Genomic DNA, 25388 nt, shown 5'->3' on the forward strand with positions numbered 1-25388 from the left:
AGTCCATCTGATTCCCCAGAAGTCAGTTATAGCTCTTCGCAAACCTTGGTGACTTCTTATTTTCTTTCTTGTTTATCCAAGATTACCTGGCTGGTGTTTGCTTGTTCTGGAGTGATCTTCTGACTGGAAAAGAACTATGTCATGGATCAAGGAAGGAGAGCTGTCACTTTGGGAGCGGTTCTGTGCCAACATCATAAAGGTGAGCAATGGCCCAGAGCACCGGTTGGCCTTCTGGTCAGTTGGATAATCTTATATAAAAACCTGTTATTAAAGTTGATGATGTTAAGTGCAATTCATGATGTTAAGTGGAATTTAGCAAGGAAACCAAAGAGTCTTAGAATGGTAACTTCCAGGTCTACATTTCTGGTAGACTTTTGTCCTAACTCTGATATTTTCTGGAAGCCCAGGCCTCTTAATGTCACTGGGCAGCCTAGACTGCTAAGTATTCTTTATAGAGAACTGAAATTTGTTTCCCTGGAACATTGATCCATTGTTCCATGTACTGTCTTCTTGATTTAAATAGGTTAATCTTTGATATATTCTTTGATCTGTCAGTAGAGCTGGGCCCGGTCACTCACGCCTGTAATCCCAGCAATTTGGGAGGCTGAGGTGGGCAGATTGTTTGAGCTCAGGAGTTGAGACCAGCCTGGGCAACATGGCAAAACCCCGATTCTCCAAAAAATTAAAAAAATAGCAGGGCTTGGTGGTGTGCACCTGTAGTCCCAGCTACTCGGAAGGCTGAAGTGGGAGAATTTCTTGAGCCCAGGTCAAAGCTGCAGTGAGTCATGATTGTGCCACCACACTCCAGCCTGGGTGACAGAACGGGACTGTCTCAAAAAAAAGAGTTCAGAACAAGACTCTGTCTCAAAAAAAAAAAAAAAAAAAGAGTTTGGGCTCTAGACGCAGACAAACATGGGTGAAATTCCTGTTCTTTTTTTTATTTTGAGATGGAGTCTCGCTCTGTCGCCCAGGCTGGAGTGCAATGGCGCAATCTTGGCTTACTGCAACCTTCATCTGCCAAGTTCAAGCAATTCTCTTGCCTTAGCCTCCCAAGTAGCTGGGGTTACAGGCATATGCTACCACACATGGCTAATTTTTATATTTTTAGTAGAGATGGGATTCTCATATTGGCCAGGCTGGTCTCGAACTCCTGACCTCAGGTGATCCACCTATCTCAGCCTCCCAAAGTGCTGGGATTATAGGACTGAGCCACTGCACCTGGCCTGAAAGTCCAGTTCTATCATTTAGTAATCATGTGACTTTAACAACTGTAGAATTATCATGAGAATTTATGAGACATTAATATAAAGCAGTTAGCATAATGTCTAGCAGTTCTTAATTATTATTAGGATTGTCTTTCAGACATTTGAAGACTATTATCTCCTATCTTCCCCAAATCTTCCCTCAGCTTTTTCTCTAGGAATCACAGCAATATTATATCTGCCTAAGACAGGTTTGAGATTGGGGCCAGTCAGCTTGGTTTTGTTTTTCAACCACAGGCTGTCAAGCAGCAGGTAGTAATGAATTTATGAGTCAGTAACCTTTATACAAGCCCCACACATGCTCACAAACAAATGCCAAGTGATCTCAAGCAGTCCAGGAAATGGGAAGTATCTCCTTGGGGAACCACTGCAGTGGTATGTTTGGAAGAACAAGCTGCATAACTTGAATGGATTTTGGGGGCTGGAAAGGCTGTATGTGAGACAGAAGTAGAAAAAGGAGAAGTGTTGATGAGGAAGCAGTCAGGGAAGAGCCCTCCCAGGTGAGGAAAAATAGGCTAAGGAGTCCATTTGTGTTATGGGAGACAACTCAAAGCTGCTCCAAGCCAAATAAGGGTTTTGTTTTTTGTGGTTTCTTTTTTGAGATGCAGTCTTACTCTGTTGCCCAGGCTAGAGTGCAGTGGTGCAGTCTTGGCTTACTGCAACCTCTGTCTCCTGGGTTCAAGCGATTCTCCCACCTCAGCCTCCCCAAGTAGCTGGGATTATAGGCACCGGCCACCATGCCTGGCTAATTTTTTTTTTTTTTTTTTTTAGTAGAGTTGGGGTTTCACCATGTTGGCCAGGCTGGTCTCGAACTCCTGGCCTCAAGTGATCTGCCCACCTCAGCCTCCTAAAGTACTGGGATTACAGGCTTGAGCCACCACGTCCGGCCCCAAGTAAGTTTTGTTTGGCTCAAAAAAAGTCTTTTTTGTTTGCTTTGAAAAACAATTTTTTTTTTTCAGACAGAGTCTCACTCTGTCGCCCAGGCTGGAGTGCAGTGGCACAATCTCAGCTCACTGTACCCTCTGCCTCCCCGGTTCAAACAATTCTCCTGCCTCAGCCTCCCGAGTAGCTGGGATTACAGGCGCTCGCCACCACGCCCGGCTAATTTTTCTTTATTTTTAGTAGAGACAGGGTTTCACCATTTTGGCCAGGCTGGTCTTAAACTCCTGACCTCGTGATCCACCCGCCTCGGCCTCCCAAAGTGCTGGGATTACAGGCATGAGCCACTGCGCCCGGCTGAAAAGCAAAATTTTAATAAAAATCCTGATGTTTGGTTTTCTTGCAAGATCACCAGATCCAGCAATGTTGTGCCCCAGTTCCTGTGTGTCAGCAGTTGGCTAGAGGTCAGGAATTAGTGCCTTTTTTTTTTTTTTTTTTTTTTTTTGAGACAGAGTCTTACTCTGTCACCCAGGCTGGAGTGCAGTGGTGCTATCTCGGCTCACTGCAACCTCTGCCTCCCGGGTTCAAGCCATTCTCCTGCTTCAGCCTCCTAAGTAGCTGGGATTACAGGCTCCCACCACCACACCTGGCTAATTTTTGTTTTTGTTTTTTTCTTTTTTCCGAGATGGAGTCTTGCTCTGTCGCCCAGGCTGCAGTGTGGTGGCGTGATCTTGGCTCACTGCAACCTCTGCCTCCCGGGTTCAAGCAGTTCTCCTGCCTCAGCCTCCCAAGTAGCTGGTGTTACAGGCATCTGCCACCACACCTGGCTAATTTTTGTATTTTTAGTAGAGACGGGGTTTCACCATACTGGCCAGCCTGGTCTTGAATTCCTGACCTCGTGATCTGCCCGCCTTCGCCTCCCAAAGTGCTGAGATTACAGGCATGAGCCACTGTGCCCAGCCCTAATTTTCACATTTTTAGTAGAGATGGGGTTTCAACATGTTGGCCAGGCTGGTCTTGAACTCCTGACCTCAAGTGATCCACCCACCTTGGCCTCCCAAAGTGCTGGGATTACAGACGTGAGCCACTGCACCTGGCCCTATGAGTTCCTTTTTTCTGTGGAAGGTACCATCTTCATTTGACTATGCCCATCAAAATTTTTCCTGGCCAGACACGATGGTTCAAACCTGTAATCCCAGCACTTTGGGAGGCCAAATCGAGTAGATCTCTTGATCCCAGGAGTTCGAGAGCAGCCTGGCCAACATGGTGAGACCCCCGTCTCTACAAAATATAAAAAAATTAGCTGGGTGTGGTGGTGTATTCCTGTAGTCCCAGCTACTTGGGGAATTGAAGTGGGAGGACCTTTCTCCTCCCGAAAGGTGGAGGTTGCAAATGACCTGAGATAACACCACCACACTCCATCCACCTTGGGTAATAGAGTAAGACTCTGTTTTGTTTGTTTGTTTGTTTGTTTGTTTGTTTGTTTGTTTTGAGACAGAGTCCCGCTCTGTCATCCAGGCTGGAGTGCAGTGGCGCCATCTCGGCTTACTGCAAGCTCCGCCTCCCGGGTTCATGCCATTCTGCTGCCTCAGCCTGCCAAATAGCTGGGACTACAGGCGCCCACCACCACGCCCGGCTAACTTTTTGTATTTTTAGTAGAGACGGGGTTTCACCGTGTTAGCCAGGATGGGCTCGATCTCCTGACCTCGTGATCTACCCGCCTCGGCCTCCCAAAGTGCTGGGATTACAGGTATGAGCCACTGTGCCTGGCCTGAGTAAGACCCTGTTTCAAAGAAAAAAAATTTTTTCCTTTTGCTTTCTAGTTGGAGACCAACTAAACCAAGCCTGTATTTAAGAGCATATGGTTGAAAGATTAACTCTGGAAGCAGATGGACATCAGTTTGAATCCCTATTTGCCTCTTCTTAACCGCGTGACTGGGCCGGGCGTGCTGGCTCACGCCTGTAATCCCAGCACTCTGGGAGGCTGAGGCAGGCAGATCACAAGGTCAGGAGATCGCCACCATCCTGGCTAACACGGTGAAACCCCGTCTCTACTAAAAATATAAAAAATTAGCTGGGCATGGTGGCAGGTGCCTGTAGTCACAGCTACTCGGGAGGCTGAGGCAGGAGAATGGCGTGAACCCAGGAGGCAGAGGTTGCAATGAGCCGAGATCGTGCCACTGCACTCCAGCCTGGGCGACAGAGCGAGACTCCTTCTCAAAAAAAAAACAGAACAAAACTGTGTGGCTTATGCAAGTCACTAGAACTCTCTGAGCTTGTTTTTCCACCTGTAAAATGAAGATAATACTATTTACTTTACAGACTTGTATGATAAGATGAAGTATAAGAAGCCCAGCATAGTATTTGGCATGTAGTACGTGCTCAGTAAACACGTAAATAAAAATAAGTAGGCCAGCTATGGTGGCTCATGCCTTTTTTAATCCCAGCACTTCGGGAGGCTGATGAAGGAGGATTGCTTGAGCCCAGGAGTTCGAGACCTGGTTAACATAGGGAAACACACCATCTTTTTTTTTTTTTGAGACAGAGTCTCGCTGTGTCACCCAGGCTGGAGTGCAGTGGCACGATCTCAACTGACTGCAACCTCCACCTCCTGGGTTCAAGCGATTCTCCTGCCTCAGCCTCCCGAGTAGAGTAGCTGGGACTACAGGCATGTGCCATCATACCCGGCTAATTTTTGTATTTTTAGTAGAGACTGGGTTTCGCCATGTTGGCCAGGCTGGTCTCGAATGCCTGACCTCAAGTGATCTGCCCACCTCAGCCTCCCAAAGTGCTGGGATTACAGGCGTGAGCCACCATGCCCGGCCGACCCCATCTCTTAAAAAAAGAAAAAAAAAAAAAGAAAAGAAAAGAAAAAAGGATAGGTAGGTGTGGTGGCATGTGCTGGTAGCCCTGGCTACTCAGCGGGAGGCAGAGGTGGGAGGATCACTTGAGCCCAGGAGGCCAAGGCTACAGTCAGCTGTGATCATACCATTGCATTCCCACCTGGGTGACTAAGTGAGATCCTGCCTCAAAATAAAGTAAGTAACTAAGTAAGTAAACTTTAATGTCTTTTTACTGAGTTAAAAGCACAAAGTACCCAATTCCCTTCGTCAGGGTTTTCATCACATAGCCCAAACATATCACCTTGGGGTGTAGTGTCTTCCTTTATCCCTGAAGAATATGAGACCTGTTCATCATTTGTCTTCCTATTCCACAGGCAGGCCCAATGCCGAAACACATTGCATTCATAATGGACGGGAACCGTCGCTATGCCAAGAAGTGCCAGGTGGAGCGGCAGGAAGGCCACTCACAGGGCTTCAACAAGCTAGCTGAGGTGGGTGTGTATGGCAGAGCCCAAAGTGAACAGTCTGTGGAGAGGTAGATTATAGCTAGAAAACCAGGCTCTGAGTTTGCTGTGGTTGGAGAGTGTTTTTTGTATCTGTCTCTGTGTTTTATTGTTTGCTTGCTAGCTATAGATCTCATCTTGACATTGGCCAGACGTGGTTGCTTTTGCCTCTAATCCCACACTTTGGGAGGCCAAGGCAGGAGGATTGCTTGAGCCCAGGGGTTCAGGACTAGCCCGGGTAACATAGTCAGACCCTGTCTCTACAAAAAAATTTAAAAATTAGCCAGACTTGATGGTGCACACCTGTGCCCCCAGCTACTCAGGAGGCTGAGGTGGGAGGACTATCTGAGCCCAGGAAGCTTGAGGCTGCAGTGAATAGAGATTGTGCCCCTGTACTCTAGCCTGGGTGACAGAGTGACACCATCTCAAGAAAAAAAAAATGACATTAACAAAGAAGTAATCATCCAGTGAATGACCATAAAATACTGGAAATAAGAACAAAATTGCCTCTTCTTATTTTAATAAATCAATAGTTTATATTTTATGCCTCATCCAATCCTTATTGTATGCTCTACGTGACTTAACATTAATAAAATTGCATCTGTAGCTTCAGTAACCTTATTTTCACTTAACATTTTGGTTTTGTTTATTTGTTTGAGACAGTCTCACTCTGTTGCCCAGGCCAGAGTACAGTGCATGATCTCTGCTCACGGCAACCTCCGCCTCCCGGGTTCAAGTGATTTTCTGCCTCAGCCTCCTGAGTAGTTGAGATTGAACACCCGTCACCATGTCCAACTAATTTTTTTGTATTTTTAGTAGAGATGGGGTTTCACCATGTTGGCCAGGCTGGTCTCGAACTCCTGACCTCAGGTGATCCACCCCCTTCAGCCTCCCAAAGTGCTGGGATTACAGGCATGAGCCACTGCACCCGGCCAACATTTGGGGAGGCATTTTTTAAGGTGTATATATAAGCTTTCTATCTGTATCTTTCAATGACTGTAGAACATTTTATCAAGAGGATCTGATATAATTTAACTGCTCCACTATTACTTGACATTACAATAAACATTATAAATAGTACTGTTTCAGCCTGGGCAACATGGTGAGATCCTGTCTCTACAAAACAAAAAAAAAAATTAGCCAAGCATGATGGTGCATGCCTGTGGTCCCAGCTACTTACGAGACTGAGGTGGAAGGATGACTTGAACCCTGGAGGTTGAGGCTGCAGTGAGCTGTGTTCACGTCACCGCAATCCAACCTGGTGACAGAGCAAGACCTTGTCTAAAAAAAAAAAGTACTCTTTTTGGATAAATTCTTAGAAGTGACATTTCTGGACGAACATTGAGTGACTACTCATTCTGCTTTGCCAAGGCTGAGGGGTTTCTCAGGACACAGGTCTTTCAGTGCTAAAACTGGTGAAAGTCCCCGGCAAACCAGGACATCACTCTACACAGAGGTCATGAACATTTTATGGTATAATGCATGTTATAAATTGGAAGACATTAAGTTTAACAAAAGAATGGAATATGACAATCTTGGTGAAATTTTTAAGAAGAATGGAGGGCCGGGCGCGGTGGCTTACGCCTGTAATCCCAGCACTTTGGGAGGCTGAGGTGCGCGGATCATGAGGTCAGGAGATCAAGACCATCGTGGCTAACACGGTGAAACCCCATCTCTATTAAAAATACAAAAAGTTAGCCGGGCGTGGTGGCGGGCACCTGTAGTCCCAGCTACTCGGGAGGCTGAGGCAGGAGAATGGCATGAACCCAGGAGGCGGAGCTTACAGTGAGCCAAGATTGTGCCACTGCACTCCGCCTGGGCAACAGAGTGAGACTCCGTCTCAAAAAAAATAAATAAATAAAAGAATGGAAATATGGTCTGTAGTTCACAGGTCCCAGTGTCCTAGCACAGGGACACAGTTTGATGCCAGGGCCGTGATATTTTTTTCCTTGAGTGAATGGCAGTGAGGTTCTCACCAGAACCTTGTAGAAGTCTTTACGTTTGTTGACTCCAGCTTCTCTTTTGTAACTGAGAGGCAGTTTTGCCTAATGCTTAGGAGCTTGAGCTCTGGAGTCACTCAGAATTCATTGGCACCCCTGCTTTGTCACTGTCTGGCTTTGTGACCTGCAGCGAGTTATGTAGCTTCCCTTTGCCTCAGTTTCTTCATCTATAAAATGGGGTTAGCAATCTCTATCTCAGTAGATTATTTGAAGATAAATAAGATGGCACAATGAAAAGCATGTAGCACAGGCCCTGACCTAAAGGAAGTACTCAAAAAATTGAAACTTGTTATTAGCAACTGTATTGACTGATGTCAGTGGTGGGTTCCAACCCAGATGTGCCATCCACAGTGGCTGCCTTGCAAGGTCTTTAGGGCCTGAGGCTATTCAAGTGTCAGGTTCTCACTGGCAATTTTCCTAAGATGACAGTAGATTTGTTTGCTTGTATGTTTGTTAAGGGGTTAGAGAGGCAGCTCTTCAGCTTGTTTCTTCTGTTCTGTTTGAATGTCTTCTGTTGTCTACGTTTAACCTCCCGCTCTCCATCTCTCAACATTGTCCTCCACCTCTCAACATTGTTCTCCACCTTTAGTGGTACAGGATTAGAGCAGCCCCAAAGGACTAAGTTTTCTTCTTTTTTTTTTTTTTTGAGACGGAGTGTTGCTCTGTCACCCAGGCTGGGGTGCAGTGGCGCGATCTCAGTTCACTGCAACCTCCGCCTCCCAGGTTCAAGCGATTCTCCTGCCTCAGCCTCCTGAGTAACTGGGATTACAGGCCTGCGCCACCACACCCGGCTAATTTTTGCATTTTTAGTAGAGACGGGGTTTCACCACGTTGGTCAGGCTGGTCTTGAACTCCTGACCTCGTGATCCGCCTGCCTTGGCCTCCCAAAGTGCTGGGATTATAGGTGTGAGCCACCACGCCCGGCCTGTTTTTTTTTGAGTTGAAGTCTCACTCTGTAGTCTAGGCTGGAGTGCAGTGGTGAGATCTCCACTCACTGGTTCAAGCGATTCTCCTGCCTCAGCCTCCCAAGTAGCTGGGAATACAGGTGTGCGCCACCGCACCCAGCTAAGTTTCTGTATTTTTAGTAGAAATGGGGTTTCACCATGTTGGCCAGGCTGGGCTTGAACTCCCAACCTCAGGTAATCTGCCCACCTTGGCCTCCCAAAGTGCTAGGGTTATAGGAGAGACCCACCACACCCAGCCAGTTTCATTTCTTTTTGAGTTATAATTTCATATGGTGAACTGCACAGATTTTAGGTTTTGACAATTGCATTTATTTATCTAACCCATACCCCTGTCAAGATATAGGACATTTCCTGCCGGGCTCAGTAGCTCATGCCTGTAATCCCAGCACTTCGGGAGGCCAAGGCAGGCAATCACCTGAGGTCAGGAGTTCGAGACCAGCCTGGTCAGCATGGCGAAACCCCATCTCTACTAAAAATACAAAAAGTTAGCCAGATGTGGTGGCACATGCCTGTAGGCCCAGCTACTCGGGAGGCTGAGGCAGGAGAATCACTTGAACGTAGGAGGTGGAGGTTGTAGTGAGCCAAGATTGCACCACTGCACTCCAGCCTGGGTGACAGAGCAAGACTCCAGCTTAAAAAAAAAAAAAAAAAAAGATGTAGGACATTTCCATCTCTCCAAAAAAATTCCCTGGTGCCCCTTCTCAATCAACTTCTGTTCTACCTCCTCCTTTTCCTCTCTAGGCAACTACCGTTCTGATTTCTGTAACTATAAATTTGTTTTTCCCATTCTAGAACTCCATATAATGGAATCAGACAGTTGAGGATTTTTGACATATTCTTCAACTCTGAGCCTGTTTTATCATTTGTAAAGTAGGCATGAAAACAGTAGTGTCATTTTAAAGTGGTTGTTCAAAGAATCAAATGAAATTATGTGAAAACCCTTTGCAGGCTATTAAATGCTACACAGCTGTCCAGTTGTTGCTTTTTTTCTTTTAACTCAGCCTCTCAACCTACCAGAATAATGAAGTTATGCTGTGAGTAATAACACCTTGTGTTTTTATATTGTTCGTTAGCCACCTTGTAAGGGATGGATTGTGATCCCATATTACAGGTAAGGAGACTTCAACCTAGAGAAATTAAATGATTTGATTCCAGTCACATAAGTGCATGCTGGAGTCAGGGACTAGAGCCTATGTCTTTACACTCTCAGTGCAGAGTTCTTTCTTGTAGTGCACAATGCCATCAGCATTCACTAAGATCACATTTTTCAGTTTCTTCAATGGTGGTTTTCTGCTTATTTGATGCATTAATTCTGACATAAACACTGATGTTATCCTAGCTTCACCCAGCTTTGGGGAGGAGAAAAGTCTGTCTCCTATCTCCAACTCTGAGTCAGGACCAAAAAGTATCTCTTATTTCCCCTTCCCACTCTTCCTTGTATCCTAGCTCCTTGCCTTCTCCCCTCTCAGACTCTGCGGTGGTGTTTGAACCTGGGCATCCTAGAGGTGACAGTCTACGCATTCAGCATTGAGAACTTCAAACGCTCCAAGAGTGAGGTAGACGGGCTTATGGATCTGGCCCGGCAGAAGTTCAGCCGCTTGATGGAAGAAAAGTAAGATGCTATCAGAGGGGAGAGCATGTTCTTCCACCACCCCCAGCCTTATCCTAACCCTTGAAATTCTGTTATCTGAGGCTTACTTAAGGGACTTGCAACTCTTTTTAATGTTAGTTAGATATCTTGGGTGGCAAATATCAGAAATACAAGATAGTCTTTCATTCTTTATTTCTAACTTTTTAATAAAAAAGGGGGCATTTATTTGAGGATATTGAGGGGTGTCACATGATTTAAGAACAAGTACAGCCAGCCTCAAGCAAAACTGAAACCAGGAATTAAACCCACTAGGTAGAACCTCTGTATTCATTTATTTCCACCTCTCTCTGCAGACCAGTTTTCTCTTGCTTCAAAAGAGCAGCCTGGAATCAATAAAATCCCTTAATTGGGATCCCTAAATTCTATCAGATTTCTACCCCAGAGCCAATAAACTATGGCCAAGGAAGTGGAGTTAAAGAAAACATTGAGGAAGTCATTTTCTGCTGCACAGTGAACCCTAAAAAGTTACTGTACTCCCCCTGCATAGTCTTTTGGGAGGGATAGGATGATGCATAAGAGACATTTATGGGGAAGCATCAGTACCATTCTTAGCTGTCAGTAAGTTTAGGCTTAACTTAGGGAATAAAGCCAGAGAGGGGCAAAGACAAATTTCAGTGGAGACTGCTTGCTTCAAAGTATGGAGCCCTTACCAGCCAGAATTGCCCGAAAGTCTTAGTTACAACTGTTGTGTGCCCAGCTCCTACCTGTACCAGGAAGATGAGAGAACAGTGAGCCTAGAACTCCAGTGAAGATGAGCCTAGAACAATGGGTGGTAGGGAGGGTAGCCAGGCTTCCTTCTGTCTATATTAGGATGGTGAGACTCTGGGCTACAGACATTGCTCCCCGGTCCCCAGCAGAGCCTGTGTGGCTCAGAGTTTACACCTAAGGAGCCGGGGATGGAGGCATGGGGGGCATATCCCACTAATCTTACCTTTTTAAAGTGTTTACTATATGCCAGGCTTTGAGCCTAAAATATATTCTTACTCATCCTGTAATCACATTATACCATGACAAAGATATTATTAGCCAATTTTTAGAGAGAAGGAAAGTAGTTAACCAAAGAAGTTAAGGCATATATCCTGGGTCACACAGCTATCAGACAGGCAGAGCCAAGGTGCACACCTGGATCTTTTTGACTCCAGAGCTGAGCTATCATCTACTACACTGTGCTCTGAGAGACAGACCATATTACAATTCCTGCAAGATCAAAACGCATGGCAGAAGAGATGCTAATGAGATTGCGCTGATCAGTTAGTAGTAGAGAAAATGGTCTTCGTTTATCATGAAGTCCTGGCAAAAGCAAGAAGAAACTCAGAGGTGCTTTTCCATTAATGTGCCACAGAACCCCAAGGTCTGAGGAGGTGTAGAAAGAACCTAGTGGGAATGGGGTAGGGGGTGCTGAGTTGCATTTACCTATTTTATGTGTTGGGCTTCTGTGTAGAATTTGATTTGAAGAAAGGGTTCTTTGGCTAAAAGAAGGTGGGAAAACCACTGGCCTGATTCTGTTTCATCAGTTGGGAAACTAAACCCTAGTAAAGAGAAGAGGTTGAGCAAGGTGGCTCATGCCTGTAATCTCAGCACTTTGGGAAGCCAAGGAGGGTACATTGCTTGAGTCCAGGAATTTGCTTGATTCCAGCCTAGGCAACATGGCAAAACCCCATCTCTACAAAAAAATACAAAAAAATTAACTGGGGATGGTGGCACATGCCTATAATCCCAGCTATGTGGGAGGCTGAAGTGGGGGGATCACTGTGATGAGCCTGGGGAGTCTGAGGCTGCAATGAGCTGTGATCGATCCACTATGCTCCATCCTGTGCAACAGATCGAGACCCTGTCTCAGAAAAAATAATTAAAAATAAGTAAATTAAAATTTTAAAAAACAGAAGACAAGAGCTTACACATGGTCACACATCAAACTAGTGGCAGAACTATACCACAAGCTAGCAGGAGGAGCTGAATCAAGGTCTTCTAGTATACTGCCTTCAATTAATCTCCCATTTTCCAAATGTGAAGCATTCGGTTTCTTCATAGCATTTCCAGATGAGAGAAGCTGGCTGAATTCATTCTCACTGTATGCAGAGTTTGGGAGTTATTGTATGGAAGCAATATAATGTCATAATTAAGAAGACAAGCTCTGGAGGCTGACTCCCTACGTGCAAATCCTGGTTCTCCATCAGCTGTCCAAACAAATTACCTAACGTCCCTGTGCCTCAGTTTCCTCATCTGTAAAAGGGGAATAATAAGGGTATATAACTCAGAGGTTGGTGTAAGGATGGAATGTGTTGGTACATGTAAAGCACTTAGACCAATATCTGGCATTTAGTAAACATAGAATGTTAGCTGTCACCATTATCATAATATTTCACTAGAACATAACAAAAGTACCCCATAATACAGCTCCTTCCCTTGAGGAGTTTACTCACTTCTCAAATGGGACAAACTTCACAGATACATAAAATGCAACTGCCCAAAAAGGACACATGAGGTCGTGTAATGTATAGTAAAGAGTTTGGGTTCTTGCTGGACATGGTGGCTCACACCTGTAATCCTAGCACTTTGGGAGGCTCAGGCAGGAGGATCACTTGAGGCCAGGAGTTTGAGACCACCTTGGGCAACATAGTGAGACCTCATCTTTACAAAAAATACAAAAATTAGCCAGGCATGGTGGTGCATGCCTTTAGTCCCAGCTACTTGGGAGGCTGAGGCAGGAGGATCGCTTGAGCCCAGGATTTGGAAGTTAACACTGAACCATGAGTATACCACTGCACTCCAGCCTGGGTGAGAGTAAGACCCTGTCTCCAAAAAAGGGGAAAAAAAAATGTAGTTTGGGGCTGAGCGCAGTGGCTCATGCCTGTAATCTCAGCACTTGGGAGGCCGAGACAGGCAGATCACTTGAGGTCAAGGGTTCGAGACCAGCCTGGCCAACATGGTGAAACCTCATCTCTACTAAAAATATAAAAATTAGCCAGGCCTGGTGGTGGGCACCTGTAATCCCAGCTACTTGGGAGGCTGCGGTGGGAGGATCGCTTAAACCCGGGATGCGGAGGTTGCAGTGAGCTGAGATTGCGCCACTGCACTCCAGCCTGGGTGACAGAGCAAGCCTCCATCTCAAGAAAAAGAATTTGGGTTCTCAAATCAGACAAACTGGGTTTCAATCCTGACAAAGCACTTGATGGCTATATGACCCTGGGCAGTCCCTATCTGACTGTCCTGTCTGAGCCTTGGCACTGAAGTAAGTTTCTTTCAGAGTTGTTGAAGGGATGCAATGAAATAATGCATGTAGAACAGGGTCTGACACACAGGAAAGCACTCAAAAAACTGGTGGTCAGTTATTACCTGAGCACCTTGCTCTCTCCAGCTCAGCAGGGGCCCTATCCCAATGCTGCCTCTTTTCCCTGATCAGGGAGAAACTGCAGAAGCATGGGGTGTGTATCCGGGTCCTGGGCGATCTGCACTTGTTGCCCTTGGATCTCCAGGAGCTGATTGCACAAGCTGTACAGGCCACGAAGAACTACAACAAGTAAGTTCTCAGATTTCCCTATAGGGAGCTGTTTCAATCTTTGATTCCCTGCTGGCTTTAGGGAGACGTCCTGGGCTTTCCTTGGTCTGGATTGGTGCAAGGGGCAATGAGAGAGTAGGTTGAGCAGCTTAGAGACTTTCTCCGTCTGCAGGGCACACCAGACATGATTCTGCAATAACATGTTATATGTGTGTATACTGACACATACACATAGTTTCTCTTTCCTCCTTTCTCTGCCCAGCCCCCACCAAATAAGTGTGTGTGTGTGTGTGTGTGGGTGTGTTTTTACTTGACAGGGAATGGGATCGGAATACAGCAGTTCTTATCCCTGACTTTGAAGACAGATCCTTCAAGAAATTCTTGTTCTGTTCCACTCCTTTAACCTATGGATAGGATGACCTTGGGAGGTCATACAGATGTACAGGGGAATAGAGTTCAATAATCCAAACTCTGTGATGTGTAGCTTTGAAATATAACGTGTATTTTGGCAGTGGACTTGTTTTACATCAAATCTCCTTCCTATTTTCCTTTGTTTGTGCCAATATCACAGTAGAGTCTTCCTCTGAAAGCCGGTGTACAGTAGAAGGGGAGAGGGTTAGGACGGCAATAGGAGCTATTTGGTGGCTGGGCACAGTGGCTCACGCCTGTCATCCTAGGCAGGTGGATCACCTGAAGTCAGGAGTTCAAGACTAGCCTGGCCAACATGGTGAAACCCCATCTCTACTAAAAATACAAAAATTAGCCAGGTGTGGTGGTGTGCACCTGTAATCCCAGCTACTCGGGAGGCTGAGGCAGAAGAATCGCTTGAACCCAGGAGGCAGAGGTTGCAGTGAGTCGAGATCACGCCATTGCACTTCAGCCTGGGCGACAAGAGCAAAACTCTGTCTCAAAAAAAAAAGGAGCCATTTAGTATTTGTCTTATTATAAAACTAGTTACATGTTTATTCCAAGAAAACTTGGAAACCACAAAAAACTCATAATTTCACCTTTCAGAGGTATCCACAATTAACATTTGATGTGTATTTGTTTTTCTAGGGAAAGGCTGGAAGGGCTTCTCTGTAATCAGTGACTTCAATCATCAGTCCCTGTCCCCCTTTGGTAAATTATTCTCTTCTTCCCTCCTCAGGTGTTTCCTGAATGTCTGTTTTGCATACACATCCCGTCATGAGATCAGCAATGCTGTGAGAGAGATGGCCTGGGGGGTGGAGCAAGGCCTGTTGGATCCCAGGTATCCCGAGTTGTTTTGCATGGTAATTGTTAAGGAAAACAGGCCTGGGCCAGCATGGCAGCTCACGCCTGTAATCCTAGCACATTAGGAGGCCGAGGTGGGCAGTCCACTTGAGGCAGGCCAGGAGTTCAAGACCAGCCTGGCCAACATGGCAAAACTCCCTCTTTTCAACAACAACAACAAAAAAGCAGGCCTGTACCAAACCATAAAGCCCCTCTGTGCCATGTACTTGGCCAGAGGTCTAATTAGGGGAGCATGTGGAAAGATTTAAGGGGATCTCCCAAATTTAGAGATTAGGATTGGCTTATTACAACCTGCTTCAGAACTAGAGTTCACCACACACCAAGAAACCCCAGAGAAAGAGCAAAGCAGATGACAAAGCCATGTTATTATTCCTTTACAAATTATACCCTCCTGGCCCTTTGGTAGTGTTTTTCCAAGAATGACTTTTCATGAATGCAGTTTGTTGGGGCTAGAGTTCTTTAGGTCTCTCATGTTCTAGTTCCACACAAGATTCAGGTGTTTTTCTTTTCTTTTTTTTTTTTTTTTTTGGTGAGGCAAAGTCTCACTCTGTTGCCCAGGCTGGAGTTGCAACCTCCACCTCCCAGGTTCAAGCAATTCTTCCGCCTCAGCCTCCCAAGCAGCTGGGACTACAGGTGCATGCCACCATGCCCAGCTAATTTTTGTATTTTCAGTCGAGACAGGTTTCACCATATTGGCCAGGCTAGTCTCGAACTCCTGACGTCGTGATCTGCCTGCCTCAGCCTCCCAAAGTGCTGGGATTACAGGCGTGAGTCACCATGCCCAGCCGATTCAGGGATTTTTCAAAAAGAAAATTATTAATTATTGTCAACATAGTGGAATCCTAATTATTAAAGGTGGAGAGACTTTTGAAGCCATTTAAATATTTGGTCCCTCTCATGTTATTATTTATGTAACTTTTAATATATTTGTAAACTAACAGCAATAGTAAAATAATAGTAGCAAAAAATAACCCAGGAGATGTGTTGTGTTCTGTATTTCATTAAGTCATTAACCTTATGTGTGAGAGATTCAAGGCTGTTGTCCATTGTGTAGATGAGAAAACTGAGTTCAGCATTGAAGTGACTTGCCCAGGGTCACTCTACTAGTAAGTGCCAGAGCTGGGACTCATATCTAAAGCTGTTTGATTTTAGGGTTCTTATCCTTTACCTCTATTATGTGGGATCTTGGGAAGCAGGAATTTTTCTGGTTCCCTTCCCGATTCGATTGACCTAGGAAACTAGATTAAAAATCAAAAAGTTACTTGGTGAGAATAGAATTAGATAAAAAGGAGAGGAGACAGTTTTTGAGGCTATTTTATGAATGCCTCTCCTTCCTAACAGCTGGGTGACATTTCTCTGTCACATAGTTCATTCATTCAACAAATATTTTATTTTTATTTATTTATTTTTATTTTTTATTTTATTTATTTTTTTGAGATGGAGTCTCGCTCTGTCTCCAGGCTGGAGTGCAATGGCGAGATCTTGGCTCACTGCAACCTCCGCTTCCCAGGTTCCAGCAATTCTTCCACCTCAGCTTCCCAAGTAGCTGGGATTACAGGCGCCCACCACCGTGCCCAGCTAATTTTTTGTATTTTTTAGTAGAGACGGGGTTTCACCATGTTGGCGAGGCTGGTCTTGAACTCCCAACCTCAAGTGATCTGTCTGCCTCAGCCTCCCAAAGTGCTGAGATTCCAGGCATGAGCCATCACTCCTGGCCCATTTTTATTTTTATTTTGAGACAGGGACTCACTCTATCGCCCAGGCTGGCGTGCAGTGGTGTGATCTCGGCCCACTGTAGTCTGTGCCTCCCGGGCCCAAGCAGTCCTCCCACTTCAGCCTTCCAAGTAGCTGGGACTACAGGTGTGTGCCACCATGCTCAGCTAATTCTTTTTTTGGAGACAGAGTCTCACTCTTGCCCAGGCTGGAATGCAATGGTACAATCTCGGCTCACTGCAACCTCCGCCTCCTGGGCTCAAGCGATTCTTCTGCCTCAGCCTCCTGAGTAGCTGGGATTACAGGGGCATGCCACCATGCCCAGCTAATTTTTGTATTTTTAGTAGAGACGGGGTTTCACTATGTTGGCCAGGCTGGTCTCAAACTCCCCACCTCAGGTAATCCGCCCACCTCGGCCTCCCAAAGTGCTGGGATTACAGGCGTGAGCCACCGCGCCCGGCGGTTTTAGACTTACGTTACAGTGGATAGTGGTGCCCTTCACCATGCTAGGTAACCCTGAGAGAAAATCCAGTTGAAAAGGGTCAGCAGTTTGGTTTTGGATATCCTGTACATGTTGAACAGAGATGTCAGGTCAACAGTTCAGCGAGGGATTGGTATAGTCAGGTCAACAGTCAGACAGAGATGTCAGGTCAACAGTTCAGACAGGGTTTATCTCTGTCGCCAGTATGGAAGCCATCTGTGTATAGGTTAACTTGAGCAAAGAGGGGATGAGAAAGCTAAGGAGAGTCTGTCTGTCTATCTGTGTATTTATCTATTTAGAGATGGTCTCACACTGTCTCCTGGGCTGGAGTGCAGTGGGGCAATCAAAGCTCACTGAAGCTTGGAACTCCTGGTCTCAAAGGAGCCTCTCAAGTACCCAGTACTACAGACGTGCACCACCTACCCAGCTAACTTTTTATATTTATTTTTTGTAAAAACAGGGTCTGACTTTGTTGCCCAGGATGGTCTTGAACTCCTGGCCTCAAGTGGTCTTCTTGCCCTGGCCTCCCAAAATGCTGAGATTACAGGTGTGAGCCACTCAGCCCTGCCTGTTAAGGAGTGTAGAGTGAGAAGAAGAAAGAGCCTAAGATGGCATTTTTGAGGAACTCTACCCTTTACTGGCTGGGTAGAGGAGAATAAGCTTTATAAGCAAAAACACAGAAAAGCAGGAAGAAAACCAGGGCAGCCAGCATTACATAAGCCAAGAAAAGAGGGAGTTTGTTGGTGCAAGTTGGGAAGGGGTAGGGCACCCATGGAAACAATGGTGTCAAATGCTGTAGAGAGGTCAATTAAGATGTAGAGTGAAAATCAGCTGTTGTTAAAACAATTAAGAGACTGGTGGAGTTAGCAGAGGTAGAGAGCAGGCAGGAAGATGAGACAGAAAAGGGGTATAGAAATAGAAGCATGTTTTCAATAAAATTCTTAGTTTGGAGGTACTTTCGTAGTTCATTATATTTTTGTGCTTTATAATGAATATGTTTCAAATATTCTTGTATGTATGAAATAAATATTAAGGCACAAGGGTTGACACTAGAATGAAAGAAAGCCATTTGACAAGCAGATCTAATATGCATTATGCCTAGGACTCTGATCTTGACTCCTAGTCCAGCATGCTTTACCCTCATACCACATTACAGTAACCACTACCTTATCTCCTGCTTCTTGTCCAGCAAGTTTTTCCATATCCTTCTCTGTCCTGCATGGTTTAGTAACTTGCCTCTGTGGGGTTAGTTATGCAGACAGGGTGTGGGTTGGGCAGTATCACCAGGGTCAGGAGGCCAATGTCTCAACCCACCAACTCCTGAAGCTTGGTGTGCTCAGACTGGGCTAATCAGGGCCTGAGGCGTTACACTTTATATTATTCGAATTTAGACAAACCTGCATTTATAACAAAGTCAGTGCGTTAATTACAATTAGGTCCTATGCTTCTAATAGCTGGAATTTTCCTGATTTCTCACTATCACCATCCAACTCCTCATTTTTCTTTCTTCCAGGGTATGTATGTAGATGTGTGTGTGTGTGTGTGTGTGTGTGTGTGTGTGTGTGTGTGTGTGTATTTTTGTTTTTTTGTTTTTCTGAGATGGAGTCTTGCTCTGTTGCCCAGGGTGAAGTGCAGTGGCACGCTCTCAACTCACTGCAACCTCCACCTTATAGGTTCAAGCAGTTTTCGTGCTTCAGCCTCCTGAGTAGCCAGGATTATAGGTGCACACCACCACACCCGGCTATTTTTTTTTCTTTTTTTTTTTTTTTGAGACAGAGTCTCGCTCTGTCGCCCAGGCTGGAGTGCAGTGGCACAATCTCAGCTCACTACAACCTCTGCCTCCCGGGTTCACGCCATTCTCCTGCCTCAGCCTCCTGAGTAACTGGGACTACAGGCGCCTGCCACCCCGCCTGGCTAATTTTTTTATATTTTTAGTAGAGACGGGTTTCACCATGTTAGCCAGGATGGTCTCGATCTCCTGACCTCGTGATCTGCCTGCCTCGGCCTCCCAAAGTGCTGGGATCACACCCGGCTATTTTTTGTATATTTAGTAGAGATGGGATTTCACCATGTTGACCAGGCTGATCTCGAACTCCTGACCTCAAGTGATCTGCCCACCTTGGCCTCCCAAAGTCCTGGGATTATAGGTGTGAGCCATAGCACCTGGCCTGTTTCGTTTTGTTTTTGAGACAGGGTTTCACTCTGTTGCTGAGGCTGAAGTGCAGTGGTATGAACATGGCTCACTGCAGCCTAGACCTCCTGGGCTCAAGAGATCCTTCCACCTCAGCTTCCTGAGTATCTGGGACCACAGATACTGCTACCACATCTGGCTAATTTTTTGACTTTGTAGAGACAGGGTCTTGCCATGTTGTCCAGGCTGGTCTCAAACTCCTGGGCTCAAGTGATCCTCCTGCCTTGGCCTCCCAAAGTGCTGGGATTACAGGTTTGAACCACGGCACCTGACCGAGGTATATATGTATTTTTTTAGCAGTTAAATTAATAGATTGTTTTGTGAGTCTGGAAATTATAGAAGAAGGAAGTAGATTGAGACCAAAGGATAGTTAATAAATTCTATTCCACCGTGTTACCTTGAACGGGCTACTTGATTCCCTGTAGGCCTCTGTCTTTCTTATAAAACAATAGTGTTAATAGTAATTGCTAACACTTACTGAGCATTTACTCTGTTCCAAGCATTAAGTATTCCACATACATTTATCCTTAGACCCTATAAGGTAGATACTGTTTTTATGCCCATTTTAAAGATGAGAATACTGAGACATGGAGAGGAAAAGTAACTTGTGCAAGTTCACATAGTTGGCAAACCTGGGGGCCAAGATTTCAACCTGGCTTCAGAGCCTGTGTTCTCATTCACTGTGGCATATTGACTTCCTCATAGCAAAGCTGAAATGAACAATAAGGCAGTAAAAAAGAAAAAAATTAGATGGACATGGTGACTTATGCCTGTAATCCCAGGACTTTGGGAGGCTGAGGCAGGAAAATCGCTTGAGCCCTGGAGTTTGAGACCAGCCCTGGCAACACGGCAAGACCCTGTCTCTACAAAAATAAAACAGTTAGCTGGGTGTGCTGGCACACACCTGTAGCTACTTGGGAGGCTGAGTGAGGAGGATTACTTGAGCCTAGCAGGTCGAGGCTGCAATGAGCTATGGTTGCGCCATTGCTCTCTAGCCTGAACAACAGAGTGAAACCCTGTCTGAAACACACACACACACACACACACACACACACTCACTTTTGACATAAATATTTATAACACATGAAATCACATAATGAATAGTTTACACTCTGAATCATGCTTTTATCATTCAATGTTACGAGTACTTTTCATGACCCGTGTTTTTAATAATTCTTCATATCATTATTTATAATGGCTGTAAAATATATCTTGTGTTAATTTCTTTAACCAGTCTTCTATTTGTTGGGTATATAGGCAGTTTAATATTTCATTATTACAAATAATGCCACAATTAAATCTTTGACTGAACTTGCCTGCATTTTTTATTGTTTCCTCAGGATCTGAGTTTGAAAGTGCTCATTTCACCTTATTCTTGCCAAGATTTTTTAAATGTAAACTGTTCTGACCAGGTGCAGTGGCTCATACCTGTAATCCAGCACTTTAGGTGGCTGAGGCAGGTTGGATCGCTTGAGCTCATAAGTTCGAGACCAGCCTGGGCAAAATGGTAAAATCTCGTCTCTAAAAGTACAAAAATTACCTGAGTGTGGTGGCATGCACCTATAGTCACAGCTACTTGGGAGGCTGAGGTGGAAGGATGGCTTGAGCCCAGGAGGCTGAGGCTGCAGTGAGCCAAGATCACATCACTGCACTCCAGTCTGGGTAACAGCCAGATCCTGTCTCAAAAAATAAAACAAAAAAATAAACCTATTCTCATAGGTAAAAACTGATATTTTACCGTTATTTAATGTAAATCATTTCCGAAAAGTCTTCACGTAGACAGCTTTAACTCACCATTCCATTTAGTGATGGATTTTTGTTGGCCAAAGTCTACAGATGTTCCATTTTGATTTTGTCAGTTTCATCTTTCCACCCTAGAGTTAACCCCTTTTTTTTTGTTTTTGAGATGGAGTCTTGCTCTGTCACCCAGGCTGGAGTGCAGTGGTGCAATCTCGGCTCACTACAAGCTCCGCCTCCCGGGTTCACGCCATTCTCCTGCCTCAGCCTCCCGAGTAGCTGGGACTACAGGCGCCCACCACCACGCCCGGCTAATTTTTTGTATTTTTAGTAGAGACAGGGTTTCATCGTGTTAGCCAGGATGGTCTCGACCTCCTGACCTCATGATCTGCCCGCCTCGGCCTCCCAAAGTGCTGGGATTACAGGCGTGAGCCACCGCGCCTGGCCAACCCCTTTGTTTTTTTGAGACACAGTCTGCTGTATCACTCAGGCTGGAATGCACTGGCACAATATCAGCTTTTTCCATTAAGAATTCTGCCCACTGCAGAATTCTTACTGCATACCTACTGCCTAAAGTAGGTAGAAGAAACTCTTTGCAGATAAATTGTAAACTCAGAGAGACTGAGTCTCTGAAGTCACACTGCAAGTTGGTGGGACTGAAAATAATTTTTTATTATTATTCTTTATATAGCACTTTATAGTTCCCAAAGTGCACTCAAATCTATTATTTCATTTGATTTGACCCTCATGATAACCTATAAGGTGGATAGGACAAATGGGCCCTGTTTTTTTTTTTCCCTTTTAATTACATTTATTTTAATGCTGAATTTACTCCTGTGCCATAAGTTTTTGTTTCTTCAGTTTCTTTGGGATATCATTTTCTTCTGGGCAACCTCCTCTTCTGGTTTAGGAACAATCTGTTCCTTTTCAGTAAGGATCATCTCAATGTGGCAGGGAGAGCTCATGGATGGGTTAATCCAACCATGAGCTCTGTAGGTCCAGCGGCACATCTTAGGTGCTTTGTTCACTTGGATATGCTCAATGACCAGAGAATCTACATTTAAACCCTTAAGTTCAGCATTACTCTCTGCATTTTTAAGCATGTGCAGCAAAAATTCAGCACTCTTTTTGGGCCACTGACCTTGTGTCCAGCCCCACTGCTTGGCCTGGGCACACCTGCCAGCTCCACCATTGTAACGTCGGAATGGTACGCACTGTTTCTGTAAAGTGACATCTTTCAGGTACTTCATGGCTTTTCGTATATGCATACCCTTGATGGCCTGGGCAGTTTCACGAATATTCTTAAAGTAAACACGAAGATTGGAACCTCTTGATTTGCATGATATCATGAGGTTCTCCGGGTTAAGTGAATAGTGAACCATTTTCACAGATTACCTCAGGCCGCTTAGGGAAAGAGCAAATGGGCCCATTTTAAAGATAAGAGAATGAGAAATTATATGGATTGTACAGAGTCTCACATAACTTGGAGAATTAAGACCATGCTGCCAAGACAAGATTGTCAGATTACCAGAGAAATCTGAACCAGAGCCCTTCTTATTGCTCAATTATAAGTGAATACTGTTTCCTCTGTGATGATGATACGGAAAAGAAAGCTCTCTCTGTGGTTTGCCTTAAAGGACTGAGAGAGATGAGCAACTTGGCTGGGTGCAGTGGCTCACACCTGTAATCCCAGCACTTTGGGAGGCCGAGGCAGGCAGATCACTTGAGCTCAGGAATTCAAGACCAGCCTGGCCAACATGGTAAAACCCCGTCTTTACTCAAAGTACAAAAATTAGCCGGGTGTGGTGGTGGCTGCCTGTAGTCCCAGCTACTTGGGAGGCTGAGGCAAGAGAATCACTTGAACCCGAGAGGTGGAGGTTGCGGGAGCCAAGATTGCGCCACTGCACTCCAGCCTGGGTGACAGCGCAAGACTCCATCTCCAAAAAAAAGATGAATAACTTGCCTAAAGACACACAACTAGTAAGTGTAGAGTCTGGTTTTGAACACTCAGCCCAGATCTTTCTGCTTTCCTGACCATGCGTCCAGAAACATGTTCCCACCAAGAAATTTTTGTCTTCTGGACCCTTTCCAAGATGTAACTCTAACTACCTGGACATTCTGAATTCTGCTTCTGGGTAGTTGGTAGGACAGGTAAACAGCATTCTTGGAGCCAACAGACACCAGCCATGCAAATACCCTCTTTCTGTGGACAGGATAGTTTTACTTAAGATAAATGCTTCCACTCACCAGTTTTCTTCAATTCTATCTCCTTTCTGACCATCTCTGTGCTTGGGAAAGTAGCTCTTATCAAACACAGGAGAACTGATCATATTGCTGTTTATTTAAAATCCGGTGTAATGTGGAATTTTTGCAATGTTTCAGGATCCATATGACTTAAATAAGATTTTAAAAATAAATTAGCTGAGCATGGTGTTGCACACCTGTGGTCCTAGCTACTTGGGAAGCTGAGGTAGGAGGATTGCTTGAGCATGGAAGGTGGAGGTTGCAGTGAGCTGAGATCACACCACTGCACTCCAGTCTGGGCAACAGAGGGAGACCCTGTCTGGAAAAAAAATAAAATATGTTTTCTGTTTTTTTTTGTTTTGAGACAGAGCCTCGCTCTGTCACTCAGGCTGGAGTTCAGTGGCATAATCTGGGCTTACTGTAACCTCCACCTCCTGGGTTCAAGCGATTCTCCTGCTTCAGCCTCCCAAGTAGCTGGGACTACAGGCATGCGGCACCACACCCAGCTAATTTTTGTACTTTTGGTAGAGATGGGGTTTCACCTTGTTGGCCAGGCTGGTCTCAAACTCCTGATCGCAGGTGATCTGCCTGCCTCAGCCTCCCAAAGTACTGGGATTACAGGCATGAGTCACCACGCCTGGCCAAAAAAAGTTATTTACATAAATTCAAACAATAACAGAAGTACATAAAGTAAAAAGAAATAGTCTTTTCTTCCTTACTTCTTATCCAATCCACTGTTAATAGTATGATGTATCTTTTTAGACTTTGTTCTTTATGTATACTTATATGCACGTGTGAATGTTTGAATGTGTGTGTATGTTTTATACTATATATTCTCTGAAACTTGCCTTTTACATTTAACATTAGATTTTGGACATCTTTCCAAATCAGTGCATTTAGATTTATCTTTATTTTTAGAATGCAGTTGCATAGTATTTCATCAAATACTGGGCCATAGGATGTATGTATGTATTTTAAAAAACAAGATGTTTTTAGCAAAAGACAACAGATATTTTTGTGGGTGCATCTGGTTTTAGGCCTGAGGCTAAATGACTTTCAGCAAATTATTCATCTTTGAGCCTCAGTTTCCTTATCTATAAAATGAGGATAGAAATACCTTATGTATCTGCTGAGCATGGTGGCTCATGCCTGTAATCCCAGCACTTTCAGAGGCCGAGGGGGGGGCGGATCACGAGGTCAGGAGATCGAGTCCATCCTGGCTAACATGGTGAAACCCTGTCTCTACTAAAAATACAAAAAAAAAAAAAAACAAATTAGCAGGGTGTGGTGGCGGGCACCTGTAGTCCCAGCTACTCGGGAGGCTGAGGCAGAATGGCATGAACCTGGGAGGCAGAGTTTGCAGTGAGCCGAGATCGTGCCACTGCACTCCAGCCTGGGGAACAGTGTGAGACTCTATCTCAAATAAATAAATAAATAAATAAATACCTTATGTATCAGAACATGTCAAAAAAGGCAAAAAATAAAAAAGAGAAAAGAATTTTACATTGTATTCTCTAAAAAAAAAAAAAAAAAAGAAATACCTTATGTAGTTGTGAAGATTTAAATTCATTCATTAATTTAGCAAACATTTTTTGAGGGCCTTCTGTGTAGTATTGGCTAGTGTATTTGATGGTATTGTATAAACTGAGAAGCCTATATATGGAAGTTCACCATGAGAACACTACAGAAAGAGAATACTACAGGATGTGTGCCTCTCTTTGTCTCTTCTTGCTCATCTTAGTGATATCTCTGAGTCTCTGCTTGATAAGTGCCTCTATACCAACCGCTCTCCTCATCCTGACATCTTGATACGGACTTCTGGAGAAGTGCGGCTGAGTGACTTCTTGCTATGGCAGGTAGGTCATTTCCAAGTACTATTATGTTTGTGTCATGGGGAAACCAACTGTATCCACAGAATGGATCAGAGTGGTCCATCCCCACTCCCAAACAGGCTGGGGCCAGAGTACTTCTGGGGAAAGCTAAAATCTGGAGAAGCATCTCTAGGCTGTGTCTCATAATATTTGATGTCCATTCCTCATCTGTCGCTGGCTTTGCGAATCCAACTATAGTGAAAACTTCATTGTGCCGCTTTTCAAGGAATGGGACTTCTGTCTTGCATCCCTGAGCGTAAGCTCTTGCCTTGGTAAC

At 44.8% G+C, this 25388-nt stretch overlaps 1 protein-coding gene and 1 pseudogene across 20 annotated transcripts in view; one reads left to right on the top strand and one right to left on the bottom strand.

Moving 5' to 3' along the window:
- The window catches only part of DHDDS (dehydrodolichyl diphosphate synthase subunit), a 38986-nt gene that overhangs the window by 489 nt on the left and 13109 nt on the right, over nt 1-25388 (top strand). For 10 of the 20 annotated variants that reach the window (XM_047430849.1, XM_047430853.1, XM_047430851.1 and 7 more), the window contains exons 2-7: nt 82-199; nt 5359-5475; nt 9922-10064; nt 13507-13623; nt 14750-14851; nt 24982-25096. In XM_047430849.1, the coding sequence (XP_047286805.1) occupies nt 137-199; nt 5359-5475; nt 9922-10064; nt 13507-13623; nt 14750-14851; nt 24982-25096 (657 nt within the window). In that variant the 5' untranslated portion in view covers nt 82-136. Of the gene's footprint in view, nt 1-81; nt 200-5358; nt 5476-9898; nt 10065-13506; nt 13624-14749; nt 14852-24981; nt 25097-25388 lie in introns of all 20 variants that reach the window. The other 10 variants (XM_047430859.1, XM_047430863.1, XM_047430861.1 and 7 more) reach the window with 3 other exon arrangements.
- On the bottom strand, nt 21787-22398 carry RPL17P9 (ribosomal protein L17 pseudogene 9; annotated as a pseudogene).

Source organism: Homo sapiens, chromosome 1 (assembly GCF_000001405.40).
Source record: "Homo sapiens chromosome 1, GRCh38.p14 Primary Assembly".
Classification (NCBI taxonomy): Eukaryota; Metazoa; Chordata; class Mammalia; order Primates; family Hominidae; genus Homo; species Homo sapiens.